Source organism: Homo sapiens, chromosome 2 (assembly GCF_000001405.40).
Source record: "Homo sapiens chromosome 2, GRCh38.p14 Primary Assembly".
NCBI lineage: Eukaryota > Metazoa > Chordata > Mammalia > Primates > Hominidae > Homo > Homo sapiens.
Genome location: NC_000002.12, coordinates 217,396,021 through 217,409,298, shown reverse-complemented (window position 1 = coordinate 217,409,298; position 13,278 = coordinate 217,396,021). Strand labels below are relative to the sequence as shown.

The 13,278-nt window shown below is 43.2% G+C and overlaps 1 long non-coding RNA gene across 12 annotated transcripts in view, besides 2 other annotated features; it reads left to right on the top strand.

The window, feature by feature from the left end:
• DIRC3 (disrupted in renal carcinoma 3) overlaps positions 1 to 13,278 on the top strand; it is a 506,425-nt gene that overhangs the window by 381,145 nt on the left and 112,002 nt on the right. Inside the window, exon 9 of one of the 12 annotated variants that reach the window (NR_186296.1) lies at positions 4,380 to 4,470. The exons of the other annotated variants lie outside the window; for them this stretch is intronic. This is a non-coding gene — a long non-coding RNA (disrupted in renal carcinoma 3). The remainder of the gene's footprint in view (positions 1 to 4,379; positions 4,471 to 13,278) is intronic. 12 annotated transcript variants of the gene reach the window in all.
• Positions 3,149 to 3,318: an enhancer, noted in NCBI's record as "experimental_56990 CRE fragment used in MPRA reporter constructs". NCBI's record gives its function as "activates a minimal promoter by MPRAs in K562 erythroleukemia cells, with activity observed for both the introgressed and non-introgressed 2:218270789 variant alleles {active_cell/tissue: K562}" and the evidence as "EXISTENCE:reporter gene assay evidence [ECO:0000049][PMID:34662402]".
• Positions 5,031 to 5,200: an enhancer, noted in NCBI's record as "experimental_56989 CRE fragment used in MPRA reporter constructs". NCBI's record gives its function as "activates a minimal promoter by MPRAs in K562 erythroleukemia cells, with activity observed for both the introgressed and non-introgressed 2:218268907 variant alleles {active_cell/tissue: K562}" and the evidence as "EXISTENCE:reporter gene assay evidence [ECO:0000049][PMID:34662402]".

Below are 13,278 nucleotides of genomic sequence, written 5' to 3'. Positions count from 1 at the left end.
CTGGATTAAGACATAATTTCCCCAATACCGTGTGGAGGAAGTACTGTAAGGAGGAAAACAGGGGCTCAAGATTAACAATGGGCAAGGAATAGGTGATTTCCCACTGTGTTTATATCAGAGGCTTTTGAACCAGAGCAACTCCATCTTGAATAGGAGCTGGGTAAAATGAGGCTGAGACCTACTGGGATGCATTCCCAGACAGTTAAGGCATTCTAAGTCTCAGGATGAGATAGGAGGTTGGCACAAGATACAAGTCATAAAGACCTTGCTAATAAAACAGCTTCCAGTAAAGAGGCTGGCTAAAGCCCACCAAAATCAAGATGGCCACGATATTGACCTCTGGTCGTCCTCACTGCTACACTCCCACCAGCGCCATGACAGTTTACAAATGCCATGGCAACGTCAGGAAGTTATCCTATATGGTCTAAAAAGGGGAGGCATGAATAATCCACCCCTTGTTTAGCATATCATCAAGAAATAACAATAAAAATGGGCAACCAGCCACCCTCGGGGCTGCTTTGTTTATGGAGTAGCCATTCTTTATTCCTTTACTTTCCCAATAAACTCATTTTCACTTTATGGACTCGCCCTGAATTCTTTCTTGCATGAGATCCAAGAAACCTCTCTTGGGGTATGGATTGGGACCTCTTTCTGGTAACATTTATGTATAAAATAATTTTCAAGGTTGGTGTTTTTCTTGTGTAACTGTGGCCACTTCACATCAAAATTGGTAAATGGTGAATTTAACAAAATACCAAATGAATGTGTATACTGAGCAGTTCATAGAACTCTGAATGCCTGCCATAGCCATAGCCCCCTTCTATGGAAAGAGCCTGTAACAGATACTCCTTCCCCAGGGGTCAATAGAGTTTAGACCGGTGACCTTCAACACCCTGGAGACATCTGTTGGGCCAGGGGTAGACATCTGAGCTGATCCACAGTAGTCATAAGAAGTGGCCCAAAAAAAGAACTTCACCTCTCATGCCTGTAATCCCAGCACTTTGGGAGGCTGAGATGGGTGGATCATGAGGTCAGGAGATTGAGACCATCCTGGCCAACACGGTGAAACTCCGTCTCTACTAAAAATACAAAAATTTAGCCAGGCATGGTGGTGGGCACCTGTAGTCCCAGCTACTCGGGAGGCTGAGGCAGGAGAATGGCGTGAACCTGGGAGGCGGAGCTTGCAGTGAGCCAAGATCGTGCCACTGCACTCCAGCCTGGGCAACAGAGCGAGACTCCATCTCAAAAAAAAAAAAAAACAAAAAAACCCCAAAAAAACGGAATTTCACCTCACAGATGTTGCTAGACTGGGTAGCAACTAAGGAGCCCAATTAGAGTGTTTGAAGGTCAAAGAGAAAGACAAGGAGGAAAAAAGAATACTAGAAAATATTCAAACATGTTTATTCAAAAAGCAGAAGCCATGAATATGAAGGAACCACATGGGGTGTAGGGGAGGCCAGAGAAAAAAGTGAGGACAGGTAGCAGCAGGGTGGGGTAGGTGGGCAGTGAGAGCAGAAACAGCCCGAGGAAGCAGCAAGATTGTGGAAAGAGGAGAACGATGGAGAAGCAATGGCTGCAAGGTTGGAGAATTGCAGCATGCCAAAGGGTTGGTGTGGGTGTGGGAACTTGTGTACTGCTGCTGGGAGTGTCTCCAGGAACAGGCTTTCTGGTGAGCAATCTGACACAACTTAGTCAAATTAAAATGGACCCTACATGTATTTCCAAGGATATCTCACCCGGATCCATAAGGAGATATCTTTGAAGATGTTCATTATAGTGTTGTTTGTGGTGACAGGAAGTTGGCGGCAATCTGGAAATCCATCAATGCAGATTAGGTAGGCAGCATATGGTGAGTATACATCATGGAGAATGAAGCAACAGTGAGCATGAACAGCCTGGCTGAGCATCTAATAACACAGATGAATTGATAAACAGTGCTGGGTGAAAAAAGTAAGGAACAAAAAGAGATATATAGCAAAGTACCATTTTTTTAAATTAAAAATACATGGATTAAAAAAATGAATGTTTTCTAAGAATACATACAAACCAAAGGATCTAAATTAAACACAAATAAGAGTGTTTGCCTAAGGGAGGGAGGAAGAAAAACTAGGATGAAGGAATAGAGATGAAATAAATAAGCAAACAAGATAAATAATGGGCCATGGACTGAGGAGTGCAATTTACTCAACCTTCTGCAACAAACAAAAGGAAGAAAAGAAGAGAGGGAGGAAAAATGAGTAACAGGAGTAAAGGATTCTTACTTTGCAGACAAGCGGACAAACACTAGTTTGGCAATATGGCAATTTATGCATGCAACAGCTGAAAAGATAAATAATGATTTTCCAGATCTATGTGGCCAGTCATGCAGTTGTGAAGTTCCTGGTCTTTTTTTTTTTTTTTTTTTTTTTTTTTGAGACAGAGTCTCTCTCTGTCACCCAGGCTGGAGTGCAGTGGCACAATCTTGGCTCACTGCAAGCTCCGCCTCCCGGGTTCACGCCATTCTTCTGCCTCAGCCTCCCGAGTAGCTGGGACTACAAGTGCCCACTACCACGCCCGGCTAATTTTTTGTATTTTTAGTAGAGACGGAGTTTCACCATATTAGCCAGGATAGGCTCGATCTCCTGACCTCGTGATCCGCCTGCCTCGGCCTCCCAAAGTGCTGGGATTACAGGCGTGAGCCACCGCACCCGGCCCCTGGTCTTCTTTTATGCCATGTATCTTTGTAATAAGCCCCCAGCATCTGAGGTAATCCAAGCAGGTCTCCATTCTCTGAAACCCAAAGGCACCCAACAAAAAAGTGATATAATGGGATACAAATGACAAATCAAGCTACTTTTGTCAGACAGTTAATATGTACCAAACACGATTGAAAGTTTACTAATTGCATATGTAGATACGATTATTCTCTTTATTTTGCAAATAAGGAAACTGAAGCACAGAGAAGCTAAGTTACATACCCAAAGGCACACAGCCAGTAAGTGTAAGCTGGGATTCAAACCCAGGCAGTTTGATTCCAGAGGCCGAGCTCGCAATCACAAAGCTGTAGCGAAAGGTGCTCCTGAGTAAATGAAATAAGCATCTAGTTTATCCCAATGGCAGACTTGACTAATTTCTCAAAAGTCATAGTTTTTTTTTTTTAATTCATTAACTCTAGTAGAGGCAGTTAATAACTCATAGACTCACTGTGAAGTACCCAGATTTGGGCGGGGGTGGGGGGGGAAGCATTATCTCTATAGCATGACACTCATTTCCAAAGCCCTGATCTTCCTATGCATTAATGAGACAACACCAAGAAAATTAGATTTGGAGGCAATGATTTCTCTTCTTCCAGGCCATGTGACCTTGACTGAGTCATTAAGCTTTCATAGCTTTCATTGCCTCAGTTTTCTCATTTGAAACACTGGGGCCAATAACAGCTCTGGGATCTGTTGTTAATAGGGGTTAAATGAGATAATATAAAGAACTGTGAGCACTGCATAGCATGTGTCTAGGTGACTGGGACACTCCATCTGTGTGGTCCTTCAAGCTCTTCTCCCATAGTGTGCCTTTTGCTGCATTGTGGCACCACCCAGGAGAGCCTTGGTATCCATTGCTGCAGGCACCTTGAATGAGCTTCAACCTGTGAGTGAGGTTATAGTCACTGCTTCTTCCATAGCGCTGCTCTGGGTAAAAACATACATAGTGCATGAATTTGGCCTTAGTGTTGTCTGTTTTCTTACTCCACAGTGGGTAACTTGGCCTTGTGGGTCTGTTTTCGATGTTCTTGACAACTGGAGCATCATGGGACTGCATTTTCCCATCTTTGCTCATTTACTCCCTGCCACATTTCTATTATTGAAAATTGTGCCCATCCCAAATAAAATTTCCCCAACAGGGTGTCGCTGAGCCTCTTCTCTACACCATAATCTAATTTCTCCTTCCTTGGAATTGCTTTAAAAACTGGGTTTGTCTCTTTCTTGTGAAGTGCCCATCATGACTTTTGTCATGGTTATGAATGTGCTAGTCTCTTCCTATGCCCTGTTAGCCTATGTGCTCCGTAAGATGGGGCCTTGCAGGTTTAGCCTCTGTGTCCTCCCCATCCCTTAGCCTGGTGTTTGCCACACAGTGGGCTTATAAAAGATGCCTGGTGAGCCAAAGGGTATGGGCGTGTGCTCCTGCCTGGGCTGGCAAGAGCACTGAACTCCCCCAGGCTGTCTCTCGCATCTCCAGGTTACTCAGGAAATCCTGTTGGTGTAAAGAAAACCTCAGGAAATTATCAACAGGACCTATCATCAGTTTTCAAGATTTTCATTGCATTTTCTAGAATGGTCACTGTTTTACTTCGTTCTAAGATGTAAGGCTTTCAGCTATTACTATTCATTGTTTGTGAATCCATTCAGGAAACATCTATGAAGTGCCTACTTGTATCTGAATGATGGCCTGGAACTAAGAAGACTAAAACATGACTCGAACTTGAGAGACCACAGTCTGGTGAGAAACATAAGTGGACCCAAAAAGCTAAAACACAATAGCAAAGAAAAATGCTACAATAGGGTGGCTAACCAATGGCGAAGCCAAGCATAGTGGAGTCAGACTCCCTCAATTCAAACCCAGGTTCTGATGCTTATTAGGTTGCAGGATCTTTTTCTCAAAGTCTCAATTTTGTCATCTGTAATAGTATTGCCTTTATGAAATTGCTATAAGGGATTAACTGAGATAATGCATGAAAAGTACTTGCACTGTGAATGGCCCATAGAAAGACTTTTAAAATGTTAATTGACACCATTGTTCTCTGTTTCAGTTCTTCTCATTTGTAAAATGAAGGTGGTAACTGTACTTATAGGGTTACCATGAGATTCAAATTATGTAATGCAAGGAAAGTGCTTGGCACAGTGCCTGACAGTAAGCACTTGATAATTGTTAACTGTGATTTTTATTTCGTATAAAGTAAAAAGGAAAGGAACATAAAACTGATTAGAGGTGTCATGTACTAATGTCTGCAATGTACTTTGAAATGCATCAAAAAATAGATGGATTGGGTAGAGGAATAAAGGTATGGAGAGATGCATAGATATGATGGAAAAAATAGAGCAAAATCTTAATTGTAGAACCCTTCATTGTCTTCTCCATGGCTCCTTGTAACCCCTTGTTGAATCGGGGGCTTCTGGAGAGACTCAACTGGAGGAGGGAGGGGAGGGAGGGAAGAAGGTAAAGAGATGGTGAGTACATGGATGTTCACTGTGCTGTTCTTTCAACTTTCCGTGTGGTTGAAATTTTCCATAATAAAACTTTGGAAGAAAAAAGGAGTGATGAATATTAGGACGGATTTTGCACTAAGATTTGAGCAAGGAAGTGTAATGGAGGGGGCTGAACACCTGGAAGTCTCTACCCTTTACTGCCTTTCTCTATCTTATAAGAGAACAGCATGTGCCAAGGTCAGAAACCATCCTGTGGGAAATGCAGGATGGTGAGACGAAGGCACTTGAATGAGGGGCAGAGGTTAGAGAGGCTAGGAATGCAGAAATCCTAGATTCACATCCCAGCTCTGCACTTACTAGCTTTGTCTTTGTGCTTTATTTTCCTTATCTGTAAAAATGGGGATAACATTATCTACTTTATAGGATTCCTTTCAATATTAAATGAGTGAATATCACCATCATCACTGTCTTTATAGGAAAGCTTCTCCTCTCAGCGCTGGTGTCTTCTCCATGGCTCCATAGAACCCCTGGTTGAATGGGGAGCCAGGGAGCTTCTAGAGAGACTCAGTTGGAGGAGGGAGGGGAGAGTAGGGGAAAGGGGTAGAGCTGAGTGGGAATATGGAGTTTAAAAAGATGTATACTCCAAGACCAGTCTCATAAACACAAGAGGCCCATGCTGATTGCTTGCTCGGTGTCATGCACGTGGCTTCTAATATTATGTTTAAAATGCTAGTGAAATTATAATCCTGTTGTAGTGCCTTTGGAGGCTCGTTCATCAACCTGGGCAGTACGTGTGTCTGGCAAGGAGCCAGCGTCATCCCCTGCCCCCACCTCCATATGACTCAGCACACATCAGACACTTTAATAGCTTCTGATTCCAAGTTTGAACTTGCCCCCCAAATGAAAACCTCCCTCCCCCTCTCCCTTCTCCTCCCACCTTCACAACGCACTCCCTACTTCCAATTTATCAGCTAGTAAATTTTGAGCTGATCTTGGAGCCAAAGTTTCATTTATGTTTGGCAAAGGAACAACTTCTTCCAAGAAAAGAACATTTAAGAAAGAAAAAAAAAAAAAGAAAAGAAAAAGGAGGGGTGGAAGGGGGGAGGGTTAAAAAAAAAAAAAAAGTCCAGCTAAACAAAAAGGGCTCATGGAAACAGCCCCACAACATTAAATAGCTCAGCACAGAAAGAGCAGTGCTTTTTTTGGTGCATTTAGTGCGAGTGAATTTGAAACAGAGTTTGAAATAATCTGATCATGCAGCTGGGGTTGCCAACCAAGCACAGATGGCCTTCTGGTCTGGAGAGGTCGTGAAGTCACCAAGACACTGGTGCTGTCAGAACTAAAGAGAGGTTTGGGGATAACCATGGCACTCATACTCATGGATTGTGTGTCCACTGGACACGTGGCCTCCTTTGTGCCTGAGGATGGCAGAAGACCTGTTTGTCTGACTGCCCTGGTGGATCTGCCAACCCCTTGAAGTGCATGGGACATTTCCAATAATGCAAAGTATTCTGAGTTACAGAAAAAGACATTCAAATGGTTTGACTCCACTCACAATGGAAAAACACAAATCAAATCATCAGAATGGAAAAAATATTCAGTCTGATACCAGCCATTAGCTTGCGGAAATTTTTTTGCAAGTTTCATAATATTCACCATTGGAAATATTATGGAAAAAATGGCCACTCTCTTACATTGTAGGGAGTAATGTAAATGGCATGACCTTTCTGGAAGGAAATGTGACAATATTCTCTATCATGTCCCCCTTCTCCCCTCCGCTGCTTGATTGATTGAGTCATTCCTCTTTATACCCGTCTACCCACCTCTCCTAGGCAATCCCTCCCTGTTTGTTTAATGGGTGTCATTTTGCATGTATTTTTGCAAAATGTGAGATAGTGTTTCTTGTGGATTTTTTTTTTTAATGTACAAAAGTAGCATTATGGCATACATCTTATTTTTTTCACTCAGCACTATATTTACAATATCATTATGCATACATTTGCTTCAAACTGCTGCACAAAATCCCATGGTGAACATCCACCACGGTTTATCTAAGAACCCTCCCAATGAGGATCTATCACCAACACCAACTTCTCACCGCTGCTCCAAACAAAGACAGTACAAATAAAATAAAATAAAATAACAAAACTATAATGAACACTCTTGTACATATCCCTTTATGGATATGTGTGAGCATTTCTTTGATATGTCTATATCCTTATCACTATATCTAAATCTATCTACTTAGAGTAGAATTACCAGGTCATAGTATACAAGTACATTTAATTTGACTAACTACTATAGCAATTTGACAATATCCCCTCAAATTAAAAATTGTATATACACATTGACTAGGCATTGCTAAGAATATGCTCGATAGATATAATTCCATATATTTACCAAGACAGACATATAAAGATATTTACAGAAACACTATTTGTATTGGCAAAGCCCTAAGAGCCACTGAGGTGTCATATGAATAGACCTAGAGGTGTATCCCTAAGATGGGTGACCTTGTAGAGATGAGGGAGTGCAGGGATGAGAGCACAGTCTCTGGGGAGCAAATTCATCGGTTGGGTCCTATGCCCACCATGGGCTGTGTGCCTCCAATTTCTCAGTGATGTCATGGGGGTCAATTGCACATATTCCTATCAATCAGCATCCTAGCAGAAAACAAGGTACACTCTTGAATTGAGTGATTTAGAGAGAGTTTAAGAAAAAAGGCCTATTTACAATGACACAGACAGGGTGAAAGAGGCCAGAAGGGACAATGCCGTGCTCCTGGCTGGTGGGAGTGGAGGGTCATTGCCACTCCTCAGCCTGGTATTAGTGAGAGAAGGAGATGGTTTCTGAAATGCAGGGAGAGAGCTGTGTGTGATGGACCATCTGACAGGAGCTGGCCCACAAAGGGAGCAACAGCAGGTGAGAGGCCAAACAACCAACTTTGCTCTCCACCCTCCGTGCCACCCATGGGCTGACCCCACATGGAAGCCAGAGACAACAGAGCTGCTGCTGCTGCTCTTCCTGCAGGTCAGGTGCACAGTGGATTGGGGAGATGGTGGGCAAAGCGAGGTACCCAACCGAATACCAAATGTGAACTTTGTGAGAATTAAATGAATAAATACATATAAAGTGCTTAGATGAGTGAGTGGCACATAATTAATGCCTAATAAAGGTGAGTTTTTATTATCAATATTTCATTAATAATAGCACTGGTTGTCCATCAAAACCTTTGAATCAGGTCCAGATGCACTATAGGGGTTTAGGTATCCATGAAATAGTATATACCAATAACAAAGGGAGACACAAGTGGCATAGTTCTCGGAGTGTAAACTTGTTTGTACAAAAGACAGAAGAAATGCTTTATTGGCAGTTGTCTTTGGAGAGAGGATCTGAAGATGAAATTGGGGTGAGAAGGAGCTTTTACTTTTTATTTTCTTCCCTCTGCTCTCATGTTTTTACTTTTTAACCATGTGCATGCATTCTTTTGATTTTTCTTGCTGAAAATAACAACAAGTGCTACCTGGGTGGTGGATTCATAGAACATGACTTTATTATTCTCTGAAATTTTTACAGTATTTGTTAATTTAAGAAGGCAGTATGTTATTTAGAAGCATAGTATATTCTAAGTATCAAAATTGGCCTCAAATGGTATTTTTGAGACTCTAAGGTGATGTGCTCACTCTTTACTACTGCCATGCTACCTTGGCCCCACACACTTCCTCCCTTTCTTAGTTCTGGAACCAATGACTTCCACCAGTCTTAAACAGTAAGAAGGCAACTTCATTTGCAAAGCAAGATCTTGCTGGATGGGAAGATGCAAATCAATTTAGATATAGGTTGGTATACATATAGGTATTGATATTAATGATACAGATACAGGGAGAGGGAGAGAAATAGATATCAAGATAGAATTGCTTCTCTGTGATTTTATGGATGTGTAATGTGAATTTTATGAATCTATGCAAATACATATACGTGTATTTTTCACAACATGTCACAAGCATACTATAAACAGTAAGACACTGGACTCCACTGTCACAATGCCTAGATTATAATTCTGGCCCCACACTCATCAGCTAGTAATTGTAGGCAAATTACTGACATCTCTAAATCTTGTCTTTGTCACTTCTAACATGACAATTGCTACCTATTTCACAGGCACTTTGGAGGATTAAATGAAATAGGCATGCCTGGCGTTACAGTAATCACTCAATATTTGGTAGCAGTTACTTATTGTTAAAAATAACATTGGGAGGCCGAGGCGGGCAGATCACAAGGTCAGGAGATTGAGACCATCCTGGCTAACACGGTGAAACCCTGTCTCTACTAAAAATACAAAAAATTAGCCGGGCATGGTGGCATGCACCTGTAGTCCCAGCTACTTAGGAGGCTGAGGCAGGAGAATCGCTTGAACCCAGGAGGCGGAGGTTGGAGTGAACTGAGATCGTGCCACTGCACTCCAGCCTGGGCGACAGGGTGAGACTCCATCTCAAAAATAAATAAATAAAAAATAATAATAATCACAGTCCAAACAGCTATGTCCAGTGAAGAATTTTGTTTTATTCCAATCCAGTCTCTCTAACTCATCGACCAGGAATTTCTCCTGACTGGGAAGGGGATGGAGTGGGTGGAAGTGGTTTCTTTAGTCATACAAGCCTGTAGAATGCTGAGCCCCCCGAGCCCAACTATCTTTCTAACTTTAGCCTTCTTGTTTAGGCCTACAAAAACAAAATATCCATGGAAATTCAGTAGCCCATGCAGACTTACAAGGCTTGGGCTATATGACCATGTTTTCTGACCTCCAGAAAGGTAGCCCGAAAGTATTTAGAATCTCATCTATGCATGGCCGCCAGTGGAGTTTTTTTAAGGAGTGGGAGAGTGGTACCCAAAAGGAATCCTCTGGGTGGAAGGGCTGTAAAAGGCCATACAACTCACAGCCCTGCTGTGTGCTTCTTCTCCTGCTGTGGCTTCCTCTCCTGCCTTGCGCTTCCTCTCCTGCCTTGCACTTCCTCTCCTGCCTTGCACTTCCTCTCCCGCCTTGCGTTTCCTCTCCCGCCTTGCGCTTCCTCTCTGGCCGTGCACTTCCTCTCCTCTGGTGCGCTTCCACTTCCTCTCCTGCGGCAGTGCTCCCTTAGGGGCCAGCAGCCAGCAGCAGGGGCAGCTTTCAGCATGCAGGATGGAGCAGCCCTGAGCAGGCCCCGACTGTGGCCTAGCTGCCACCTTACCTGCTCCTTGCAAAGAAGCAGATGCTCTCTCTTACTGCTAGAATCTGGGCTCTTCAATTCAAATGCTGTGTAGATTCTTTGAAACTGGAGTTACTGCCCCTTGTCACTCTCAAGTCCTGCTGCCCAAAAGACCGGGCAATTTTAGCATCCTCTGAGTGGGGAACCAAGCTCCACCATCCAGAAGCCAGTTCTGCTCTGGTGTGATCCCCAGGAGAAAGGAGGTGCCATCTGAACCAATGTAACCACCTTAATCATTACAGAGACTTTGGAGGATCAAAGGCCCTCAGCACTGGCTCAAGCTGAGTGACTTAAAAAAACAAACAAACAAAACAACCTCTGCCCTCAAAAGCCTGGCATGTTTTGGGGTTCATTTCAAGGAATCTCTAATCTGAGATGAATTTCTAGAGCTGTCTGAAACGAAGTAGTAAGTTTCCCATATCTGAAAGTGTCTAATCAGAGACTGACAAACCACATAACATCAACTTTGTACTGGAGTTAGATGATCTCAAAGGCCCTCACTCTATGGCAAGGGTCTATGTTATTCCTTACTCACCGAAGAGGCGGTTAAGTGCAGGGAACTTTAGATACAGCAAGGGAGAATGAAATCAGATTTCCCACACCGAAAGTTGTTTATGTGGCGGGAAACCAATGTGGTGTGTAGGACAAAGCCTTGGATTTGGAGTTAAGACACTAGACAGAACGTATCAATCAGCTGAGTGGCTTTCCTACTAGTTGCTTCTGATAAGTCCATGTTCCTTCACCGATCACATAAGAGCATGGGGTCAGATAATCTCTTAGTCTCCTTATGTTGGAAATTTTAGTTGGGAGCTCATAGTTAGTCAGAAAATTATGTTCAAGCATCTGAATACAGATGAACATATGGCAGATCCACAGTGAAGAAATAAAACCCATAGGACTTTCCAGGACTATGCCATTGTTTACTTAAGTTCCTGGCTAAGAAAAGAGCATGTTGGGGGACTGGATTAGGAGGAGAGTTCTTGAAACCTTCTCCATCAATACTACGTAACATGGTTATGGAGGCCTGGAACCTCCTTACTAAGTATTGCTCCGGTGTTTACAGTGTGTGCCTCAGACCAAAATAAAGAGAGAGTCCATGTTTTAAATCCCCCAGAGTGCTTTCTTCTGCAGGCTAGGAAAATGCTTCTGCCTCCACCCATGCAGGGGCTGCCATACAAAGTATCATAGACTGTGCAGCTTAAACAACAGAAATTAATTATCTTACAGTTCCAGAGCCTAGAAGTCCAAGATCAAGGTATCTCCAGGATTGGCTGCTTCTGAGGACTGTGAGGGGAGGGTCTATTCCAAGTCTCTCTCCTTGGCTTGTAGATGGCCCTCTTATAATTTCTCTTTACATTGTCTTTCTTCTGTGCATGTCCTGTATCAAAAGTCTCCCTTTTAATAAGGATATCGGTCATATCAGATTAGGGCCTATCCTAATGACATCATTTTAATGTGATTATATCTGGAAAGAGCCCATTTCCAAGTAAGGTCATATTCTGAAGTACTAGAGGTTACAATGTGAACATATGAATTTTACAGAGACACAGCTGAACTCATACACACTACCCATACCATCGCACCTACCCCACTGAGTCCTGTCACATTCAGCAGGATGGATATTTGCTAGTAAGTCCTGAGAATTGCCATGTGGTCTTTTAGGTTCGTCCATCTTATTTGGCTCCATTTCTTCCCAGATCTTTAAAGTAATATTTGTTTCTAATATTAATATTCCCTTAGATTTGGTGGGTGGCATATATGTATGTGTGCTTGTGTGTGTGAGAAAGAGAGAGGAGGTGAGGGGGGATTTGCACAAAGCTTCTCCTCCCAGAGCTTCTGCTCAGTAGAGAAGTGGGGTATTTCCTGGTGGATTGTATGTGAGCCCATTTTCTATACAGACAGCTAGCCTTGAGCTTTTGTCTCAGGGCTTTCCTGAGGACAGTCTTGATACATGAATAGGAATGCTATGATTTCCCAGAGTGAAGCAGTAGCCTCACATCCACACCAACAGGAAAATGGCTTGGTATAAATCCAGTCTCATCTCAGTAATTACCCCACCAGGCATTTATGTTGGGCTGGGTCCCAACACCCTACCAGGATAGCCGTCATCTCCACTGTGGGCTCAAATGACCCACTTTGCAGCTGAGTTCATCCTGGAACCCCATGGAGGAAGGAAGAAGGGAGAGTGCTGAGGGTGGGTCTGCTGCTGTATGCTGTGAATCCATGAAGGCTGGGGCCACTGGGCTGGGTCGTTCTCAGGATGGAGACAGTGCCTAATGAAGTCCCCACAGGCCAGAGTATCACCAGGGAATGACTTCTAAGCCCATGCTCCCAGTTTATTTTTGACTTTCTTTTGGGGTTAACTGCCAAGGATAATCCATGATCTTGTTTACTCTGTGGCTGGCTAAATATTTAAGCTGACTAGAAATAAATACCTCAAGTCTACATCCCCTGAAGCAGTTCCTCCAACTTCATGTAGTGGGGCTTTATGAAGCACAAATGAGGGAAGCAGAAGCCAGCGGTTTTGAGGAGGAAGGATTCATGCAGGGAAGGCTAGGAGCCCGATTCAAGTCTTAGTGACTCAGTGGTTAAGAAGAAGACTTTAACTCCTGTCTCTTGGCTCCCAAGTGGAGAGCTGAGTCCAGCAGACTAATCCACTGCCTGACCTGACCCAGCTCTACAAAGCTGTTGGTTGAGAATTCCAAAGGCCATCATGAGCAACAAGTCAGTCCTTGATGTCAGCCTCTCAGATCTGCCAGCCATGAAAACACTAGATCTTCCCCAGTTTCCAGAGTCAGAGAGAGAGTTATCACCTTATTATAATGCAATCTAACTGGAGAATGCTGGTACATGAC